This window comes from Homo sapiens, chromosome 1, assembly GCF_000001405.40.
Source record: "Homo sapiens chromosome 1, GRCh38.p14 Primary Assembly".
Taxonomy (NCBI): Eukaryota; Metazoa; Chordata; class Mammalia; order Primates; family Hominidae; genus Homo; species Homo sapiens.
In genome coordinates, this window is record NC_000001.11 from 117370800 (window position 1) to 117394427 (window position 23628).

Consider the following 23628-nt stretch of genomic DNA (forward strand, 5'->3'; position numbering starts at 1 on the left):
ACTTTAACTAATAAGTAATGGAAAATAAGTCATGGTCACCATTTCTTATTTGCAGTACTTAAGAGATACTTGTTTAGTTAGTATTTCTTTATTAATAGATTAGTATAATAATTTGGTGTTTAAGTTCTGGAGTCAGACTGTATAGATTCATACCCTAGCTTGCCACTGATTAGATTTATGATACTGAGAAATTTTAAAACTCTATATTGTTTCCTTTGTATCACAGTGGCATGTATCTACTTTACAGATTGTTTTATTGAAAGAGATAGTACATGCAAAGCACTCAACATAGTTCCTGGCATTTAGTAAATGATCAATAAATGTTAACTATTATTATCATCAGTGATTATAATTGTAATGGAATATTTTTATTCGGAATCTACTTTCCTTTAAATACTGTATATTTTCTGAAAAGTAGGGTACAGTTTGATTAATATTTAGAAGTATACTAGGATCTTATTGTCTAAAGGAACATTTTATAACCAAACTGGTTGGCAACAAATGTATGCCTACTGTGGCAGGCCCCGCTTTCATGAAACTTTCAATCTAGGGAGAGATGATGGGCATTAAATAAATAATTTTGTTTTTGAGGTGTGATGAATGTTACGAAGTTGTACTCAGTGCTTTCAGAGCAAGGAATGTGTGACCTAGTCTATAGAGTTGGGGGTGGAGGGGCAGTGGGAATAAGGAAGACTTCATTGAGAAAGTGTGCCTCAGAAACGTAGAATGAGTAGGAGATTGCTTAATGAAGTGGAATTGGAGGTTGAGGGGAGGTTGAGGGTCAAAGCAGAAGACACAACATGTGTGAGAGCCCTAAGGAAAAAAAGCTTGGCATCACTAAGAATCTGAGAAATGTTAAGTATGGCTGTTGCAGAGGGTGTGGGTCTGGGTGATGAGACTAGATGAGAGGTCAGGTTTGGCCTGCTTACAAGTTTTTTGGCCTCCTTATTGTTGTTACAAAAGTTTGAATTAGTTGTCAGCATTCACAGATCAGGAGATTTCATGTTAAAGTCTGGATTTCTGATCTTTCTTGAAAAATTAGAGGTTATGGCAACATCCAGTGTATTTTCAGATGGTAATATTCAAGCCACAACCCAGTAGCAGCTGCTCCCTTGGGAGGGGGACGGGGGCGGGCATGTGCCACTCAGAGTGCGAAATAAGTAAATACAAATCAATCAATATTTAACCTGGTTGTTGTTGAGTTTGCAAATTCTAGTCAGGATTCTAGAGAGTTTGTAGTTAAATATTTTGGTTTTTATCATAAATACTAAGAGAAGTTATTGAAGGATTGTAATAAAAGCAAGGGAATGACATGATCATTTTAAATTAAAAAAATTAAATAATCACTTTGGTTGCAATGATTACTTACTGGATGGTAAGAAGCAGGAGGATAACAAGTTAAGAGGGGCTGGGTCACAGAGGATATATTGGCTTAGATCGCAGTGGTGATAGTGGAGAATGAGATAAATTAGTGGAGAAAAGTGGTTGAGTCAAGAGGTGTTAAACTATTAAGTTTCACAGAAAATGGTGGTTGGTTAAATATGGGGCCAAAATAGAAAGAAAAGTGAGTCCAAGATAATGTCTAGGTTTCTGGGTGACATGGCCATGGATTAGTAAGAAATACATACTATATTTAATTAATGCCCTAATTTATAGATAATAGTGGTATTACATGAATTTAGTATATTTTCATGAGGAAACCAATATGTTCCCTTCTATTAAGTAGTTCATAAATAATCCAGAATTTTCAAACACTGTAGATACACTTTATAGATGATAAGGATATATCAAATGTGTAGTTTGGTGTTGATTATGGTTATTTATAGTATCTATGATTTTGCAGTACCCAAAACCAGAAGTTGTTATAATATACATGTTGTTATACGCTAATATACATAAAGTAATATACGTAAGTATACTTTGTGTACATAATAGATCTCAATAATTAAAAACTTTTTTTTTTAAAACTGACATTTGTTTTATATAATGGCATTTATAGATGGGCTTTGTGAGTTAAAAAAAAAAAAACCCAGCTTATGAGCTGTTTATCTGAATAGCTAATAAGTTTCACCCTCCAGTCAGAACTTTGTTAGTCTGAATTGAATACTTGAGGGTCAGGTATATGTTTACCTTTGATACTTTCCTCAAAGGCATTGGAGTTATAAATAAGGCTGCATCTTAGTTCTACTAACTAGCTGTGTGGCATTGTGCTAGACGTAATCACTCAAACCTGTGCGCTGTCCAGTACCATAGCCACTAGTTATATATGACTATTGCACTTAAAATGTGGCTAGTCCAGGCTGCAGTGTGCTTTAGTGAGTTTCTCAAGTTCTTCATGTTATGATTCGTGTTTTTTTTTTGCTTGATTCAGTTTTGTTACAAGAGTAGAGATTTCAAATCTCACTATTGCAATTTTAATTTTCTTGTCATCTTTCTTTGTCTCATCCCTCTTCTGGACCTTTTTTTTCTATCCTGTTTTTTATTTGGGGCTTTCTGCTCCTGTTTGGGCGACGTCACATTGTTTTATGCACTAATATTAAAGTCTGCTGGATGTTCCATTTCCCTTATAAATTGCTCATGGTTATTTTTCCCACTTCCCTTTACTCAGACATGAATTATTGTGAGGTTTGTTTGTATTTGACGTTTGTCAACAACAGACTGGTGTAGATGCCTTTGCTGCATTTGTTTTTTTTTTTTTTTTTTGGGTACATTCTGTGGTCCAGGCTGGAGTGCAGTGGCACAATTACAGTTCACTATAGTCTCAAACTCCTATGCTGAAGTGATCCTCCTGTCTTAGCCTTCTGAGTAGCTGAAACTATGGGCATGAGTTGGGACTACAGGTGTGAACAACCATGCTAGGTTAAGTTTTAATTTTTGTAGAGATAGGGTCTTACTTGTTGCCCAGGCTGGTCTCAAACTCCTGTGTTCAAGTAATCCTTTTACCTTGGCCTCCCAAAGTGTTCGGATTACAGGTGTTAGCCACTGCACCCAACCGAATCTTATTTTTATCGATATGGATACTTTCAAATTGGAGCTCATGCCTAAGATTGGAAAGTTGGTAATGCAGAAGCTAAGTATCTTCTAGAAATCAGTAGTACATGGTAAACATTAATTGATTTTTTTTTTTAAGTGAAAGCAAGTTTATTAGAGGAGGAAAGAAACAAAGGATTATAGGCAGAGCAGCCAATTTATTTTTAACTGGGCAAATGTTTTGTTTACTATTGTTTGAAAATTATAGAATATTTAACTTATGTGGGAGGTGGAGGTGGGAGGATTGATTGATTGAGGCCAGGAGTTTGAGACTAGCCTGGGCAACATAGTGAGACCCTGTCACTGCACATACTCGCACATGCACACAGCTGGGCATGGTGGTTGGTGCCTGCCTGTAGTCGGAGGCTGAGGTGGGAGGATCACTTGAGCCCAGGAGTTCGAGGGTGTAGTTAGCTATGATTGTGTCCGTGCATTCCAGCCTGAGAGACAGAGGCTCTGCCTCTTTAAAAAAAATTAACTTCTGGTTTGGGCTGACTCCACATATTTCTTGGATAGGAAAATCATATTGCTACTTTTATTTTCCCTAGTTGTGCAAATTCTGTCAGAAAAGTTTATTTTCACTGCTATTGAATTTTTGCTAGAACTTTATTCCTGTTAAAACATGGTTGTAATGAAGTCTGCACTGGAGTTTTATTTTCAGATTGGGTATTAGGATTTGTCATTAAAAAAAAAATCTCCTTCAAAGGGCATTCTTTCCAATGATCTGTTTTTGAATTTAATGTAGTCCAGAAGGAAGGCATCATTATATATTAGAAAGAACATTGGACTCAGTGTTAAGAGACAGGGGCTTTAGTTTCACCATTGTCCTTGGTTGTTGAAGTATATTTAGATATGCTATTCAACTTCTCTGTGCCTCGATGTTCTTATTTATGAAATGAGGGAATTGATTGAATCTTTAAAGATTTTTTTCTAGCTCATGCATATGAAATACAAGTAATTTTATGAAGTAGGGAACTGAAGAGTGTGCAGTAATTTAGTTCATACATCTCAAATATTACAAAGATAAAATGTATTCTAAAGGAATTAGTGTCTTTTTTGTATATAAAAATTAGTTTAAAATCACTTTGGAAATGACTAAAATTTATTTACATAATATTATTATTTACATAATGAAATCTATACCGATTTAAAATGTGAAAATGAACGAAATGACTTTTATACATTCTTGTTTCTTGTTAGTTTTAAAGTATAGTTTATTGAGCATTTGATATGCCAGCCTGAATGTAGTGGGTATATTTACAAAATTGTTTTCAGGTGTCATTTCTTGAGCCCAGTTATCAATTACACGTCTTCACCTGTTACCTGAGACTTTAGGATAGATTCTGTGGAATACAGTCCTTGACTGAGGCCTCAGACCCTTTGAAGGCTCTTACTACTCCTGTGGCACAATTTTCTTTGATTTAAGGCTATAATTTCCTTTTTTAAAAAAATTTATTTTAATTTTTTAACAAAACACACCTCTCATGGGAAGGACTATAATTTCCTAACCTTAATATTGAGAGATTCCACTGAAAGTGTTCTCTCCTGTTCTCCATATCTTAAGAACAACTTTTGGGACAAGTTATACAAATAGTTTTTTTAAAAAAAGAGGAAATTAAGTAATCTGGAGATTACAAAGAACACAGGTGTTGTTTTTCCTTTTGACTTTTTAAAAAAATATTTATATAATCAACCTGTTATGTAGCTCTCTTGGCCTCCCCTTAGTGATGTTGATATTACCATTAAAAAATATTAGTCACAATCATTTGTTCAGCAAGTGTTTTGAGTGTTTATTATGTACCAGGCATTTTGCTAAATATTGGAGATTATTAATGAATGTTACAGAAGATTAATTTTGACTATTGAAAAATTCAGATCTTAGACTCACGTCTTGATATTTTTCTTAAAGCATATTATTATGTTTGGAGCCAGATTCCAGGGGTCTTAGAGATAACTTTCCACCTATGGGAGGTTCTGGTACAGGCATTTAGGTCATTGGCATTTTTTAAGAGTTCAGATAAGTTATTCTATCTCTCCCCATTTTTGTTTTCTTTTTCTAAGATGTATTTAAGATAATTAATTTATGTTTTTTTTTTTTTTGAGACGGAGTCTTGCTCTGTCGCCCAGGCTGGAGTGCAGTGGCGCGATCTCGGCTCACTGCAAGCTCCGCCTCCTGGGTTCACGCCATTCTCCTGCCTCAGCCGCCCGAGTAGCTGGTACTACAGGCGCCCGCCACCACGCCCGGCTATTTTTTGTATTTTTTGTAGAGACGGGGTTTCACCGCGTTAGCCAGGATGGTCTCGATCTCCTGACCTCGTGATCCGCCCGCCTCGGCCTCCCAAAGTGCTGGGATTACAGGCGTGAGCCCACTGCGCCCGGCCCTAATTTATGTATTTCTAATATACGGTCTGGGTTATCTGGTATAAGGAAGATGGATGCTGCGGTCAAGAATAGGTCGAGGCAGACATCCGGTCCAGCATGACTCAAGTGAGTTTGGAGTGCAGGCATACAGCTCCGCTTATTATGTAACCATGTCATGTGAGGCGCATTAGGTGATCACCCATGTGAGTGTGTGCTTGGCTTGGAGCCACTATGGTCTGTGAAAGGTCTAATTACCCTGCTAACGTGGTACAAAAGGCTCGCGCCAAGGCTCGCTCACGCCCAGAGAGTAAAGCCATGTTGAAACTATGATTCCTCTAGTGTTTTTCCAACTACCTGCCACTCACCCACCAACTCTCCTCAGACCTCAGTTACAGCCTGACATCTGGAAAAAAGAGACAAATATTTTGAAGCGTTTTGGTAAGGAATCAGGCTCTGGCATCTGAAAAGAATTCCTAACATTGTGTGAAGTTGAGATCTGGTACCTTTGTATGTACAGTTGGCCCTCTGTATCCATAGGTTCCACATGTGTGGATTCAACCAACTGCAGGTTGAAAATATTCAGAAAAAGTTAAAGATGATTGTGTCTGTACTGAACATGTACAGACTATTTTTTCTTGTCATTATTTCCTGAACAATACAGTATAATCACTATTTACATTGCATTTACATTATATTAGGTATTATAAGTAAGCTAGAGTTAATTTTAAGTACAGGAGAGGTTGTACATGGGTTATATGCAAATACTACAGTATTTTATATAAGAGACTTAAGCATTTGTGGATTTTGGTTTCCAAGGGAGGTCCTGGAACCAATTCCTCATGGATATCAAGGAACAACTGTGTTTATATTTAGCCATATATACATGAACATATTTACATATGGCTATATATGGTTATATCTGTATGTTTATAATGTTATACATGCATACATGACTTTTTTCCAATTAGTTGGCAGTCAGGTGGCATCTGATACAAAGTTTGTATGTGTTTGGTGTGTATCTGTTAAATATAATAAATGAGGATTATTTTCTATTAATTTGTGTTGTCATTAATAAATATGTTTTCATGACCTAGATTTTTTTCTCTCTACATAAAAAGATTGGTAACACGCTGAGTAAGGTGAACATTGAGCCTCTGGCTCTTCTTCAGTGCCGTTGGTGTAAATGTAAATTAATAGAATTTTCATAAAGAGCAATTTATTTATATCAACTAACTTATAGTGCATATTCTTTGATTCAGCAATCCTTCTAGGGATTTATCCTTGGGAAATTTTCACAAAGAAGTGTTCAAATCACTTCTTTCACAAATCCGTGTGAAACTGAAGTTTCACAAATCAGTGCACAAAGAAGTGTTCAAGAATGTCCCCTGAAGCTATAACATGACATATTGTAAGTGACCTAGATGTCTGTCAGCAGGGTATTAGTTAAATAAATGATATATCCCATCCCAATATATACAAAGGGTTTCTTTGTTTTTTTGTGTTCGTTTTGTTTCTGGTGCTGTGAATCTTTCTGGTTACTCCCAAAAGCACCACACTATTTTAATTTCATAGTTTTATAATAGTATGCTTTCATATCTGGTAGGTTAAGTTTAATGTATCATTCTTATTTTAAAAGTTATTGGCTCATGCCTGTAATCCCAGCACTTTGGGAGGCCGAGGCGGGTGGATCACGAGGTCAGGTGATTGAGACCATCCTGGCTAACACGCTGAAACCCCATCTCTACTAAAAATACAAAAAAAATTAGCCAGGCGTGGTGGTGGGCACCTGTAGTCCCAGCTACTCGGGAGGCTGAGGTAGGAGAATAGTGTGAACCTGGGAGGCAGAGCTTGCAGTGAGCCGAGATCGCGCCACCGTACTCCAGCCTGGGCGACGGAGTGAGACTCCATCTCAAATAACAAAATAAATAAATAAATAAATAAAAAAGTTATAAGTGTACATGAAAAGTCTTAGTGGATAATATTACTGAATGTCAGTGTAACTACTAGTTAGCTTTGTCAAATCCTAACATTTTCTTATTTTGGCTGGATTACCCTTCTTGAGGTAAATTCCTATACTGAGTTGGACATTGTCATTGTCAGTGCATGGTTTTATATTTCCATAACGTGTATTTGTTGATATAAATTATATACAGTTTTTCATGTTTTTAAACATTATTTATCATTCTGCAAGTTGTTTTCCCCTTCATGTTATCTTTACAATTTCACTTTTGGGCTCTGGTTCAATTATATAATTATATTATCTGCCTATTCAGTGATTAAACCTCAAGTTATTTGTGTATTTCCCTGTTGATAGATTTTTAGTTTTTAGTTTTTTTTGTTGTTGTTGCAAAAACATTCTGTACATATGTTCTTGGGCACATGTGTTTTTCTCCAAGGTAAAAACTTAGAACTATAGTTACTGGGTTGTAGGGTATGTGTATCATTGACTCTAAATTTTTTTGTTTACAGCCCCTGAAGTGGTTATTATACCAGTTTATACTTCCACCTGCATCTTAACAAACCATGATATTGTTAGAGTTTAAAACTCTTTTCCAACCTGCTGTCAATTTGTTTGTACTTCCCTGATTACTAGAGGTGAAACACGTATTTTCAACATATTTATTGACTATTTGAGTTTCTTAATCTTTGAGTTACTTGTTCAGTTTTTTGCCAGTTTTCTTTTGGGTTGTTGCCTTTTTCTTATTTATTTGTAGAAGTTATTTGTACATTCTGGATGAATTCTGTGTTAATATGCATTACACATTTCCTCCTGTGAATACCTTATTTTTTAATTTTGATTATGATGTTTTTAGTTTTACACAAGTTTGAAATTTTAATATATTTAAAATTGTTAATGTTTTCATTTATGGTCTCTACTCTGAAGTAACAGTTTCCTGTATTTTCAGTTCTGATAGTTGTAAAGTTTTGTTTTTCACACCTAGGGATTTAATCTACTTGTTGATTTTTGTGTATGATGAGGTGGGGACTGAATTTATATTTTTCCGTATGGGTATCTAGTTGTCCCTGTGTGACTTATTGAAGAGTCTGTTTTTTTCTCATGGATTTGTAATGTCATTTCTGCAATATAAATTTTCATATATTCATAGATTTGTTTATGATTTCACTTGGTTCTTTTGTATATTTCTGTTGGAATAACGTGCCGTTTTGTTAAGTATAGCCTTTAGATATATCTTGACATCAGATAGTGTGGGCTCTTCTACCTTGCTCTTCAAAATTTTTTGCTCTTAATTCTAAGCTCTTTCATAAGCATTTATTTTTTTATTCAGGTTAAGTTCATTTAACATAGAATTAATCATTTTAAAGTGAGCACTTAGTAGTATTTACAACATTCACATGGTTGTGTAACTACCACCTCTAGTTCAAAAGCATTTTCATTACTCCAAAAGGAAACTCTATACCCATTAAATGGTTACTTTCCATTCCCTCCTCCCTGCTTCCCCCTAGCCTCTGACAACCATCAGTCTGCTGTTTCTATAGATTTACATGCTCTCCATATTTCACATAAATAGTATCATGCAATCTAAGACCTTTTTTGTCTGGGTTCTTTCACTTAGCATAATGTTTTTGAGGTTGATCCACACTGTAACAGGTAACAGGTATTAGCACTTCATTTCTTTTTTATGGCTGAATAATATGCCATTGTTTGTATATATGTGATTTGTTTATACATTAATCTGCTGTTGGGCATTTGGGTTGTTTCTACCTTTTGGCTATTGTGAATAGTGTTGCTGTGAACATTTGTGCGCCTATATTCGTTTTGAGTACCTGTTTTCAGTTCTCTTGGTTATATACCTAGAAATGGAATTACAGGGTCGTATGATAATTCTATGCTTAGCTTTTTGAGGAACCACCAGACATTTCTGTAGCAGCTGAAATGTTTTGTGTTTCCACCAGCAATATAGAGGTTCTAATTTCTTTATATTCTCTCTAATATTTATTCATTAAAAAAATTACATCCATCCTAGTGTCTATGAAGTGGTATCTAATGATGAATTGAATGAATGAGTAATGATGAATAGGAATGAATAATCATGTTGAACACATTTTCAGGTGCTTGCAGACCATTTGCATTTTTGAAGGAACGTCTATCCAGGCTTTGTCCATCTTTTAAATTGGTGGTTATGTCCTTTGCACAAAAGTTTTTAATTTTGGTGAAGTCCGATTTATCTGTTTTCTTTTGTTGCTTGTGCTTTGGGTGTCATATCCAAGAATCAATTGCCAAATCCAGAGTCATGAAGATTTACCCCAGTTTTTTCCATAAGATTTTTTAAAAAAGAGTTTATGGTTTTAACTCTTATTTAGGTTGTTGATTCATGTTGAGTTAATTTTTGTGTATGGAGTGAGATAGAGGTCCAAATTAATTATTTTGTTAGTGGATATCTGTTTGTCCCAGCACCATTTGTTGAAGAGACAAATTTTCCCCTATTGAATAATATTGGCACTCTTACTGAAAATCAGTTGGCTATAGATGTATGGGTGGGTTTCTGGACATTCAGTTCTATTCCATTCATCTATATGTGTGCCCTTATGCCAGTATACACTGTGTTGCTTAATGTAGCTTTGTAGTAAGTTTTGAAATTGAGAAGTGTTCCAGGTTTGTTATTCTTTTTCAAAATTGCTTTGGCTATTTGGAGACCACTGACCATTCCTTATGAATCTGAATATTGGCTTTTCAATTTCTGCAAAAATGACTGTTGGAATTTTGATAGAGATTACATTGAATCTGTAGATTGTTTTGGTATTATTATCATCTTAATAATAGTAAGTCCTCCAACCATGACCACAGGATATCTTCCCATTTTTGAGGTCTTCTTTAATTTTTCAGCAATGTTTATGGTTTTCAGCATACAAATGTTTTACCTTCTTCATTAAATTTATTCCTAGGTATTTTGCTCTTTTGTATGGTATCGCAAATGCAATTGTTCTCTTAATTTTCTTTTTTGGTTTTTAAATTTCTGGTGTGTAGAAGCGCAACTAATTTTTTTTTATTATACTTTAAGTTTTAGGGTACATGTGCACAATGTGCAGGTTAGTTACATATGTATACATGTGCCATGCTGGTGTGCTGCACCCATTAACTCGTCATTTAGCATTAGGTATATCTCCTAATGCTATCCTTCCCCCTCCCCCAACCCCACAACAGTCCCCAGAGTGTGGTGTTCCCCTTCCTGTGTCCATGTGTTCTCATTGTTCAATTGCCATCTATGAGTGAGAACATGCGGTGTTTGGTTTTTTGTCTTTGCGATAGTTTACTGAGAATGATGATTTCCAATTTCATCCATGTCCCTACAAAGGACATGAACTCATCATTTTTTATGGCTGCATAGTATTCCATGGTGTATATGTGCCACATTTTCTTAATCCAGTCTATCGTTGTTGGACATTTGGGTTGGTTCCAAGTCTTTGCTATTGTGAATAGTGCCGCAGTAAACATATGTGTGCATGTGTCTTTATAGCAGCATGATTTATAGTCCTTTGGGTATATACCCAGTAATGGGATGGCTGGGTCAAATGGTATTTCTAGTTCTAGATCCCTGAGGAATCGCCACACTGATTTCCACAATGGTTGAACTAGTTTACAGTCCCACCAACAGTGTAAAAGTATTCCTATTTCTCCACATCCTTTCCAGCACCTGTTGTTTCCTGACTTTTTAATGATTGCCATTCTAACTGGTGTGAGATGGTATCTCATTGTGGTTTTGATTTGCATTTCTCTGATGGCCAGTGATGATGAGCATTTTTTCATGTGTCTTTTGGCTGCATAAATGTCTTCTTTTGAGAAGTGTCTGTTCATATCCTTTGCCCACTTTTTGATGGGGTTGTTTTTTTCTTGTAAATTTGTTTGAGTTCATTGTAGATTCTGGATATTAGCCCTTTGTCAGATGAGTAGGTTGCGAAAATTTTCTCCCATTTTGTAGGTTGCTCGTTCACTCTGACGGTAGTTTCTTTTGCTGTGCAGAAGCTCTTTAGTTTAATGAGATCCCATTTGTCAATTTTGGCTTTTGTTGCCATTGCTTTTTGTGTTTTAGACATGAAGTCCTTGCCCATGCCTATGTCCTGAATGTAATGCCTAGGTTTTCTTCTAGGGTTTTTATGGTTTTAGGTCTAACATTTAAGTCTTTAATCCATCTTGAATTAATTTTTGTATAAGGTGTAAGGAAGGGATCCAGTTTCAGCTTTCTACATATGGCTAGCCAGTTTACCCAGCACCATTTATTAAATAGGGAATCCTTTCCCCATGTCTTGTTTTTCTCAGGTTTGTCGAAGATCAGATAGTTGTAGATATGCGGCATTATTTCTGAGGGCTCTGTTCTGTTCCATTGATCTATATCTCTGTTTTGGTACCAGTACCATGCTGCTTTGGTTACTGTAGCCTTGTAGTATAGTTTGAAGTCAGGTAGCATGATGCCGCCAGCTTTGTTCTTTTGGCTTAGGATTGACTTGGCGATGCGGGCTCTTTTTTGGTTCCATATGAACTTTAAAGTAGTTTTTTCCAATTCTGTGAAGAAAGTCATTGGTAGCTTGATGGGGATGGCATTGAATCTATAAATTACCTTGGGCAGTATGGCCATTTTCACAATATTGATTCTTCCTACCCATGAGCATGGAATGTTCTTCCATTTGTTTGTATCCTCTTTTATTAGCACAACTAATTTTTAGTGTTGATGTTATGCACTACAATTTGCTAAATTGACTTATTAGCTCTATTAATCATTTTATGAGTTCATTGGGATTTACTATCTGTAGGATCATGGTCATCTGTGAATTGAATTGATTTTACTTCTTCCTTTCCAATTTGGATGTCTTTTATTTCTTTTTCCTGCCTAACTGCTCTTGCTAGAACTTCCAGTACAGTTTCAAATAGTAGTGGTGAAAGTGGGCATCTTTGTCTTACTCCTTATCTTAGGGGCAAAGCTTTCAGTCTTTCACCATTGAGTGTGATGTTAGCTGTGACTTTTTCATAAATGCCCTTTATCATGTTGAGGAAATTCTCTTCTATTTTTAGTATGAGCATAAGTCCTTTCACTCTATTAATGTGATATGTTACATTAATTGATTGATTTTCTTATGCTGAACCATCCTTGCATTTCTGGGATAAAGTCTACCTGCCTATGCCTGTAGTTCTTTTAATATGCTGTTGGATTCAGTTTGCTAGTATTTTGAGGATTTTTGCATCACTATTTATAAGGGACATTAGTCTGTAGTTTTCTTGGAATGTCTTTGGCTAGCTTTGGTATCAAGATAATTACTGGTCTCATAAAATGAATTAGGAAATCATTCCTCCTCTGTTGTTTTTAGAAGAGCTTGAGAATGATTGCTGTTAATCCTTCTTTAAAGATTTGGCAGAATTCACCAGTAAAGCTATCTGGTTCTGGGCTTTTCTATTTTGGGTGGTTTTTGCTTCTTGATTCAGTCTCTTTACCTGATTCAGATTCTCTTCTTGAGTCAGTTTTTATAGTTTGTTTTCAAGAATTTGTCCACTTCATGTAGATTATCTAATTTTTTGGTGAATAATTGTTTATCATATTCTTTAAAAATTTTTTTTTTTTTTAAGCGTTGGGGGTCTGTGTTGCCCAGGCTGGAGTGCAGTGGTTATTCACAGGTGTGATCATGGTGCACTGCAACCTTGTACTCCTGGCCTTAAGTTATCTTCCTGCCTCAGTCTCTTCAGTAGCTGGGACTACAGATGCACACATCAAACAAACCAGGCCATAAGATTCTCTTTTAATCTTATTTATTTCTGTAAGGTCAGCTGCAGTGTCTCCACTTTTATTTGTGATTTTAGTTATTTGCATCTTCTCTGTTTTTCTTCTTTGTCATCTAACCAGAGGTTTGTCAATTTTGTTGATCTTGTCAAAGAACCAACTTTTGGTTTCATTAGATTCTCTCTATTGTTTTTCTATTCTCTGTTTTATCACCACTGTAATTTTTCATGTTTTTGTCTGTTGTGCAGGTTATGGGCTTGGTTTGCACCTCTTTTTCTAGTTCTTTAAGTTGTAAAGATTATTGATTTTAGATCTTTTAAATGTAGGTATTTACTACTATTAATTTTCCTCTGAGGATTGCTTTTGCTGCATCCCATAAGTTTTGGTATGTGTTTTTGTCTTCATTTATCTGTATTTTCTAATTTCCCATGTGATTTCTTTGACATGTTGGTTAAGAGTGTGTTGTTTAATATCCACATATTTATGATTTTTCATTTTCCTTCTATTATTAATATCTAACTTCATTTCATTGGGGTCAGAGAAGATACTTTGTATGATTTAATATCTTTAAATTTATTGAGACTTATTTTGTGGCTCAAAATGTGGTCTGTCCTGGAGAATATTTCATATGCACTTGAGAAGAATGTCTGTTCTGCTGTTACTGGGTAGGTGCTCTGCATATGTTGGTTAGTCTTCTCTTTCCTTATTGATCTTTCTAGATGTTCTAGCCATTATTGAAAATGGGGGTATTGAAGTTTCTATTATTGTTACTTTGTCTGTTTCTCCCTTCATTTCTGGCCATGATTTCTTCCTATATTTTGGGGGTTCTGTTGTTTAATGTATATATTTATAGTTTTTATATCTTCTAAATTGACTTCCATAAGTATTTTAGAATCAGGTTATGAAGATACCATCCTTATGCTTTCAAGTTTTGCTTTAGTGCTTCCTGTTGGTGGTACCTAGTAGGGAACCAGCTGACAAAAGAAAGATGTAATTTGCAGAGTCTAAGCCCCAGCATCATGAAGCATAGACGACGGAATTTGGAATTATATAGAAGAGTGGATTTGGAATTGAAAATTTTGGTTTACTTACTGATGCTGTCTGGCTGTCTGAATTTTAGCGTATGAACTTTGATTAGGTCTTGATAAGCAGTCAGTGGAACAGCCTATGAGGGACCTCTTCCTTGTAGAATTAGAATTGAATAGCCAGCAGCTCACCTCAGACAAAATGGATGCCTGTTGAAATGGGCCTTTTCTCAGTAGATCCCTGCAGAATTTTATGACTTGTGCAGTCTGAGGTTTTGCCCCAGGTAGATGAGCAGGAGGGCATCTTTCCAGTAGTAACAGAGACAAGCTCTCTTCACCTGTGCTGGAGGATATACCAGTTCTCAAATCAGACATGTGATAGACTTGCCAAGAGAAGAACCTATATAGGTGAGTTCCTTGCTAAGTTCCAGGTCTCTTCCTAGATTCCTGACAGTGCCTTCTATCTGAATGTGTAGTAGTAATTATGGTCTGGTTGACTGCCTTCCTGCATTCCACCCTATTCTCATCTACACCATATTCAGAGTAACTTGGAGTGTTAATCATATAGGTAGGATCCTTCTCTATTTTTCACGGATGTTGTGATGGATCAAAGTTTTATGTTCTGTATTGTTTGACTTGCCTTAGCAAGAATTGAGGGGGTGGGGTGATGAGTTAAAGGCATGTGCTTAAATTTTATTCCCAGAATACTTTTCCATTTGTATTACAAATAATTACAGGAGAGGAATCCTGGATACAGACAGTAGACAGCAACTGTAACACATGCAGAAAAGGTATTTATTGGAAGGATGTTAGACTGTAACACATGCAGAAAAGGTATTTATTGGAAGGTTATTAGGTTGCTTCAGAATTGACATAAAAGTCTGAAGAACTAGGTTTAGTAAATAGGCATTAAGTGAAGCCAGATACACAGAACCACTGTCAGTGCTGCTGATTAATGAGCATTGGTTATGGCGTTGCTACCTCTGGATACTGGATGTGTCTGCTTCCAGAGTGATTTCTTAAATTGAGTCCTTGTTTCTTTACAGGTATATAGTACCAGCCATAGCATCTCATTGCTTACACATAGGTGATAGGCAATACCCTTGCTGCTAGATGTTAGGAAGATTAAGTATCTTGAATTTTTCTGACTTCTGTAGGAAGAGGAGGGATTCTGTTACCATTATACTAATTAATTCCTGAATGTTTTGGCAGCTTAAGCAACATAAAGGAAACCGAAAGGAATCCTACATTTTATTACAGTGACTTAAAATAAAATAAGGGGATGAAGTTTTTATTTGTGCTGTGCTATTTAGAAATGTAGATATAAATAGACTTTCTAGACTCTATCCTTTCAGCACTTTCTGTTCAGGGGTTTAAAGTAGGGGTTGGTACTGTTCACCTGAGAGGCAGCTTGGAAACATGGGGACATTTTTTGGTTGTTAGAATGATGGGGATGAGGGCACTATTGCATTTAATTATATGTGGGCTGGGTATGCTAAACATCCCATGGTGCCTTGGTGGTTGTGCACAATAAATAATTGAATTATCCTCCTCATAATGCCAGTAGTGCATTTAAGAAAAACCAGGTTATATGGCTATCTTGGTGAAGGACTAAAAGTTATTACTAGCTTCCTTTGCTTCACTGTCTGCACCCTCTGGCTGAGGATTATTTCTCATTTCGTTGCTTTGCTGTTTTCTTTCCTTAGTTCAAGGGACTTGATTCCTTTCAAGCTCCAAAAATGTTATTTTTAAACTCTGGCTTTGGCTCGGCTCAGTGGCTCATCCCTGTCTCTAGAGTCCCTGTTTCTAGAGACCCTGTCTCTAGAAAAAAATAAAAAAATTAGCCAGATGTGGTGGCACACACCTATATTTCCACGTAATCGGGAGGATCATTGAAGCAGGAGGCTGTAGGGAGCTATGATTGTGCCACTGTACTCCCACCTGAGTGATAGAGTGAGACCCTATCTCTAAAAAGAAAACAAACAAACAAAAACTGTGAAAAGGTGCCCGGTAGCATGGGAGAAAATATTTGCAAATCATGTATCTGATAAGGCATTAATATCCAGAATATATAAAGAACTCCTACAACTCAACAACAACAACAAAAAACCTGGTTTAAAAATGGGCAAAGGACTTGAAAAGATATTTTTCCAAAGAAGATGTATAAATAGCCAATAAACACATGAAAAGATGCTCAACACCACTAATCATTAGGGAAATATAAAGCAAAACCACAATAAGATAACCCTTCACATCTATTAGGATGGCTGTTGTAAAAAAAAAAAAAAAAAAACAAAGTAACAGGTGTTGGAGTGGATATGGAAAAATTGGAAACCTTGTGCATTGCTGAGGGGAATGTAAAATGGTGTAGCTGCTGTAGAAAACAGTATGGTGTGTTCCTTTCAGCAGTCTTTGTGTAGCCAGTAGTTGTGATTCTAATAAAAGTAGCAGTTGGTTTGGGACTGATAGTGATTGTTATGATTTCAATTGGGTGGTGCTGACAGTATGTGGTTCTTGGTATCTGTGAGGATAAACCGCATAAGCTATCTCATTTCTATCTTACATGAGTGGTGTGGATCATTCCGTATCAGTAGGTTCACTAATGCAAATAAAGTACATTTAAAACAATGTAAAAGGTAGTAGTAAATGCAAAAGTATGGAGGTAAAGGTGTACCATTAGTTTTTGGGCTTCAAGGCTTGGAACTCAGGGTTGGCAGCTGTCTTACTTAGTTTGCTTGAGCTGCCTTAACAAAGTACCATGGACTGGCTGGTTTAAGCAACAAACATTATTTCCCACAGTTCTGGAGGCTGAGAAGTGATGAAGATGCTGGCTGATTCAGTTCCTGGAGAAAGCCCTCTTCCAGGCCTGTAGACTGCCACTTTCTCTGTGTGTCCTCTCATGGTCTTTTCTCCATGTGTGCTTGTGAAGAAAGAGACAGCAGCTCTCTTTCTCTTCCTTTCCTTATAGGGCCCCACCCTCACTACTTAATCTAATCCTGAGTACCTCCCAAGGCCCCCCACCCCCCGCCGTCATCTCCAAATACCCCCTCCCCCTATCATCTCCAAATACTATCACTTTGGGAATTAGGGGTTCAACATATGAATTTTGGGGGGACACAAACATTTACTCTATAATTGAATCAGTCTGAGAGATAATATCTTAGTAACAAACCAGGTAAATCTAGGCTGACCACAGAAACAAGTTGTCAGTTTGGAGAGGCCGGACAGAAAGGAAAGATGTGAGCCAATAAGACAAATTAGAGACACTTGAAGAGAGGGAAGGTTCAAAGCCTGAAAATGGGATGGCAGAGATTTGAGAAATTATCTATAATAACAAGGAGTGATGGCTATAACAATTTTGTTTTGGGGTTCTTACTACCTTAGATATATGTAGGCAGGGGAGACATGGTAAAGATGCTGTATTAGGCTGTTCTTGCATTGCTATAAAGAAATACCCGAGACTGGGTAATTTATAGGAAAAGAGGTTTAATTGGCTCACAGTTCTGCAGGCTATACAGGAAGTATGATGCCAACATCTGCTTCTGAAGAGGCCCCAGGAAGCTCATAATTGTGGCAGAAAGTGAAGGGCGGGGGGAGTGTAGGCATCTCACACAGTAGGAGCAAGAGCGAGAGAGTGAGTGGGAGATGTCACAAACCAGGTCTCATGAGAGCTCACTATTGTGAGGACAGCACCAAGCCATGAGGGATCCATCTCATGACCCAAACACCTGCCAACAAGCCCCACCTCCCCAACACTGGGGATTACAATTCAACATGAGATTTAGTGGGGTCATATATTAAACTGTATCAGATGCCTGTAGTACTAATAACAGCTTGGGGCCAAGGTCTGCACAAAGACTGAATGGGTGATGTTTTACTCCACAAGAAAAGAATGAATAGTGTACCAAAACCTTTTTAAAAATAATATTTACAATAAATTATTTTCATGTCTTCACAGATAACCCATAATGACTTTTTGCTTTGTACTGATGGTGATTTCTGATATCAACATCCTGGTGTATCAGTGCTGTTTCTGACCTCTTTCTGATGGTAGCTTTTGATGAAAATATACAAATTTTTGGTAAAGGATCTTTATGGTGATCAGAAATCCACTTCAACTTTTATCCTTTATACTTCAAAATGTCAATGAGAATGACTACTTAAAATACCAAATCCCATCTAAAACAACCCCCCAAAATCTCATAAAATATTGAAGCTAAAAGAAAGAACGAGTTACTATGTGCATGATAGTTTCTTCTTTTTCCTTTGGGTTTTATACCTTCTTCAGTTTCTGATTTGTTACAGCAGCAGTCCCCAATCTTTTTGGGACCAGGGACTGGTTTCATAGAAGATAATTTTTCCATGGACAGTGGGTGGGGTGGGGGATGATGGCTTCAGGGTGAAACTGTTCCACTTCAGATCACCATAAGGAGTGTGCAACCTAGATCCCTCACATGAGCAGTTCAAGGTAGGGTTTGCGCTGCTATGGGATTCTAATGCCATCGCTGATCTGACAGTTATGTGGAATGCAAGTGGTAATGCTTGCTTGCACAGCTCACCTCCTGCTTGCCAGCCGAGTTCCTAACAGGCCCTGGACTGGTACTGATCTGTGGCCTGGGGGTTGGGGATCACTGCATTACAGGAAGGCCAGGCCTTATTTTATTTAGAACCTGTATACTGGGGTAGTGATTTTTAGTATTTTTTTCATTATGTGTTTTAAAACTACAACAAAGCAATTTAAAGGTCTTATAAGGTTTATACCTTTTTTTTCTTTTTTTTTTGTGTGTGTCTGATTGCACTGCTAGAACCTGTAATAGATTTTTGAGTAGCTTTTTGTTCTTGATCTTAATGGGGAAGCTTTCAGTCTTTCACCCTTGAGTATGATGGCTGCTTTAGGTTTTTAATAGGTGCCCTGTATCAGATTAGGAAATACCCTTGCATTCCTAGTTCGCTGAGAATTTTCATCAGGAATGGATATTGGATTTGGTCAAATACTTTTTCTGCATCTCTTGATGATCATGAGGTCATTCTTTTTAAGTCTTTTAATGTAGCAAGTTGTTACATTAGTTGAGTTTTGAATGTTAGACACCCTTTGGTAATTATTCTGTAATCTTAAAAGTAGTTTTCTGTGTTTATGAGGGATATTAGTTTGTTTGTTTATTTATTTATTATATTTGTCTGATTCTGGTATCAGAGTAATGTTGGCCCCATGAAATGAGTTGGTTTTCCATTTTCAGTGTCCTGAAAGAGTTTCCATAGAACTGGTATTGATTTTTACCTAAATGCTTGATAGAATTCGTCAGTGAAATAATCTGAACTGGAGTTTTCTTTGTGGAGAGGTTTTAACTATACATTCAGTTTCTTTAATAGATACAGGCTGTTAAGGTAATCTAGTTCCTGAGTTCACTTGAGTAGTTTTTTTTTTTTAAACAAGGAATGTAAATTATTGAATTGTTGACATAAAGTTGCTAATAATAGTTTCTTACTGTCATTTGAGTATTTGTAGGATTGTAATTATATCAGTTCTCTCATTGCTGATATTGGTAGTTTGTGGTTTCTCTTTTTTCCCTTCTCGTCATTATTAGAAATTTATCAATTTTATTGATCTCAAATAACTAGCTTTTGGATGTATTGGTTTTTCTCTGTTCTTTTGTTTTATATTTTATTTCTTGTTTTGCTTTTATCTTTATTATTTTCTTTCTTCTTCTAACTTTGGGTTTAATTTTCTCTTTTTTCCATTTTCTTAAGTTAGAAGCTGAGGTTCTTGATATAAGATCTTTTTTCCCCCTAATATAGATTGGTTAATGCTATAATTCTCTCTTTAACTTTTCTTTTTTTTTCTTCATATTGGCATTTAGTGCTATGAATTTCAGTCTAAGAAGTACTTTAGCTTTATCTACAGTTTGATGTTTCCATTTTCTTTCGGTTCAGGGCACTTTCAAATTTCACTTTTTAAAAAACGCCTTTATTGAGGTATTATTCACATACCATACCATCCACCCATTTAAAGTATACAATTCAGTGGTTTATTCAGAGTTTGGTATGTTTAGTATATTCACAATTATCTGCAATGATCACCAGTCATCTAGTTTTACTTTTGATTTCTTCTTGGACCTGTGATTATTGAGAAGTGTTTTATTGAGTTTATAAATATTTGGAGACTATCCAGATACCTTTATGTTACCTGGTTTCTACTCTAATCCCATTGTAGCAAAAAACATACTTTATATGGTCTGAATACTTTTAATTTCATTGAAACTTGTTTTATGACCTAGAAAATGGTCTGTATTGGTACATGTTCCGTTTGCATTTAAACAGAATGTATATTTTGTTATAGTGTTCTGTAAATGTCAATTAGGTCAAGTTGGTTGATGGTGTTGTTCAAGTCTTTTATGTCCTTATTGATTTTCCTTCTATTTTGATCAGTTATTGAGTGAAGGATGTTGAAATTACCTATAACATTGTGAATTTGTTTACTTCTTTCATTTCTATCAGTTTTTGCTTCAGGTATTTTGAAATTTTGTTATTAGGTGTGTGACGTTTATCATTGTTACATTCTCTTGACATATTGACCTCATTAATACAAAGTGACCCTTTTTATACCTGCTCTAAAAGTTACTGTTAGATTTAATATAGCTGTTCTCACTTAAACTTTATTGAGTTACTTTACACACTGTAAAATTTACCCATGTTAACTGTACAGTTAGGTGGGAGCTATGCCTCCTGTACATAGGATGATGATTTCCAAATCTGTGTTTTCAGACTTTGACATCTGAACCTACGAGCTTTGTTGACTTCTTAAACTTAACAGGTCTAAAATCATACACATTCATCTCTTTCTCACTCCTTCCCTTTATCCCAAATCACCCTTTCTTTCTTTGTTCTTGGTTCAGTTAATGGCACCCGTTTCTATCCAGTCAGTATTGTGAAAAATCTATTATTGTTAATTAATTCCTTTTCCTTCTCATGTTTAATCACTTGCCTAAATTTCTAGCTTTCTAAGGTCTCTTATATTGGTCCTTCTTCTCTGTATCTACTTTAAATACATTTTATTAGGCCCTTGTCATTTTTTGCCTGGGAGGACTGCTGTGACTTCCTGACTCCTTTTCCTACTTCCAGCCTTATATCCCCTCCCTTTCTACTCCCACCTTGCCTCAAGTCAATCCTGAGGAGGCATTCTTTCCAAGATTTAAGTACAATCATGCCATTTTCAAGTTGAAGTTCTTTAGTGCCTTGCATTTTTCCCCAGGCTGCATTGTTAGCTCAATTAATGATTGAGCTTTTGTCTTCTCTAGCTTCCTTGCTATAGTATATTGTGTTACTTCTTCTGTGTCTTTGTACACTCTGCTATCTTCGTCTAGAATGCCCTTATTACTTGATCTGCATGGCAAACTCTTATTCTTTTAATTTTTATTTGAAGATCATGTATGTCTTTCTCTGTTTCCCTATGTAAATCTGCTTTCAAGTCATATACTTGTATGGTTAACAAGTAACTATTCTTTTCTATGTATATCTTACCTTTTCTATAGCTGTCCGTGGTATTTATTTTCTCTTTCACACATTTTGTGCTTACTTTGTTTATGTATTCATTAGATTGTGAACTCCTGTGGGCAAATCATGTGCCTTATTTTTCTCTGTATACCTTGCCTTTCACATTTCGTAAATTTTACTGAGTTAAGCTGAAATTACTTGAATGACAGATAACCATTGATTTAATCTGAAATTACCATAAACGCAAACTGAAATCCTTTGAAAACCCTAGTTAGAATAATCTATAACTGCTTTCTACAGAAACAAAATCTTTTAATAGCCAGATAGGTGACCTATACCTAACTAGAGACAGTAAGTTTGTGTTGATGGTCCATGGCTGCATTATTAAAGTGGGAGTGCTAAAGCACTTAGTATTTTGTAGGTGCCACATGACCAAAGTAATTGGATTTGGTATAAAAGCTTGAGGTTCTGTGGATTTCTCAGTGCTTAGCCTTAAATCTTTTTTAGCCTCTTTCATGTGGCCAACCAATTCATATTGAGAAACAGTTGGGCTTCTTCATTAACGTGTTATTTTAGGAAAGGGATTACTGTTAAGGAGTGGTGATCCCAAATGTGATACAATTTGTCTTGTTTGGCCTTTAACTACAGTCAGTACACTGGAAACTATGTGATTCTTAAGATGATAATGTTCAGAAACTTTTGGTCATTTGTAAGACAGTATTATTCTGTGCTGGTAGAGTATGTTCATTTGCTGTTGAAAATCATCTTAGACCAGATTTGTAAACATCTCCCTTATAATAACACCATTTTAATTAACCTCTTGGTTATTTCCAGGTTTAAGGAGATCTTTTTATTACCTTGAAGGTGTGGCATTTCTTTTAGGAAGGTCTTAAATTCCTTCAGGCACTTGCCACTAAAGGAGTGTAGAATGCTGTTGTTTCATTATTTTCTGTATCAGTTGCTGACTATCCTATAGTCATTTCCCAAAATCATTCTTGGCCTATATTGTGCACAAGTAACTATTTATATAACTGCTTCAACTATTTTTTTTTTTGTGTGTGTGTGTGTTTTCCTGGATTCTCTGAAATTTCTTTTGAATATTATTAAAATATAGGATGTTTGAGAAGGCTATTTAATATCTAACTTTGTCATAAAAAAACTTTTAGTATTGGCCATTGTTACTTATCTTTTAAAAGGTAGCATTACATTGTTGATTCATTTAGCATTTTTTTTTAGTCATTAAATGGAGCAATGGGGAGTTATTCTTGGAATTTGGCGATGAGAGTCAATGTAAAATTCATTTATGATTGTTAACAATAGTTATCTGCCAAAGTCTTTAAAGGGCTCTCATATTCTTAGACCTTATTCGGAAGAAGATGGTCTAGAAATCTTAGCAAGGTAGTAATGGATGTGAATGAAAGCTGATATAAATAGTGGTATTATCATAGAAGAAATAATGTATCAATGGAAGTTTGAATGTGTGGAGTCTAGTGATGGGACCCAATAGATAGGGAGGGAAGGAAATTATGTTTACTGAGTACCTGCTGTCTGCTCGTAGTTTCCTTCCCTTGCTGAGCTCTTATTTATTTGTTGATTCTTTTGAGTTTTCTATGTAGAACTCCTATTGCCTGTGACAAAAGACAGTGGGTTTCCTTTTTTTTTTTTTGAGATGGAGTCTTGCCCTGTCGCCCAGGCTGGAGTGCAGTGGCGCAGTCTTGGCTCACTGCAAGCTCTGCCTCCCGGGTTCACGCCATTCTCCTGCCTCAGCCTCCTGAGTAGCTGGGACTACAGGCACCCGCCACCATGCCTGGCTAATTTTTTTGTATTTTCAGTAGAGACGGGGTTTCACCGTATTAGCCAGGATGGTCTCAATCTCCTGACCTCGTGATCCGCCCGCCTCGGCCTCCCAAAGTGCTGGGATTACAGGGGTGAGCCACTGCGCCTGGCCTTCATTTTCTCTTTTTATGTTGCTGGCTAGGACTTCTAGTACAATC

The 23628-nt window shown here is 36.2% G+C and overlaps 1 protein-coding gene across 4 annotated transcripts in view, besides 1 other annotated feature; it reads left to right on the top strand.

Annotated features, from left to right (window-relative positions):
- The window catches only part of MAN1A2 (mannosidase alpha class 1A member 2), a 161424-nt gene that overhangs the window by 3351 nt on the left and 134445 nt on the right, over positions 1-23628 (top strand). The gene's annotated exons all lie outside the window — the stretch shown is intronic.
- Positions 4741-5265: an enhancer, noted in NCBI's record as "H3K27ac-H3K4me1 hESC enhancer chr1:117918162-117918686 (GRCh37/hg19 assembly coordinates)". NCBI's record gives its function as "activates a minimal SCP1, AML or CMV promoter by ChIP-STARR-seq in primed H9 embryonic stem cells {active_cell/tissue: H9 hESC(primed)}" and the evidence as "EXISTENCE:reporter gene assay evidence [ECO:0000049][PMID:30033119]".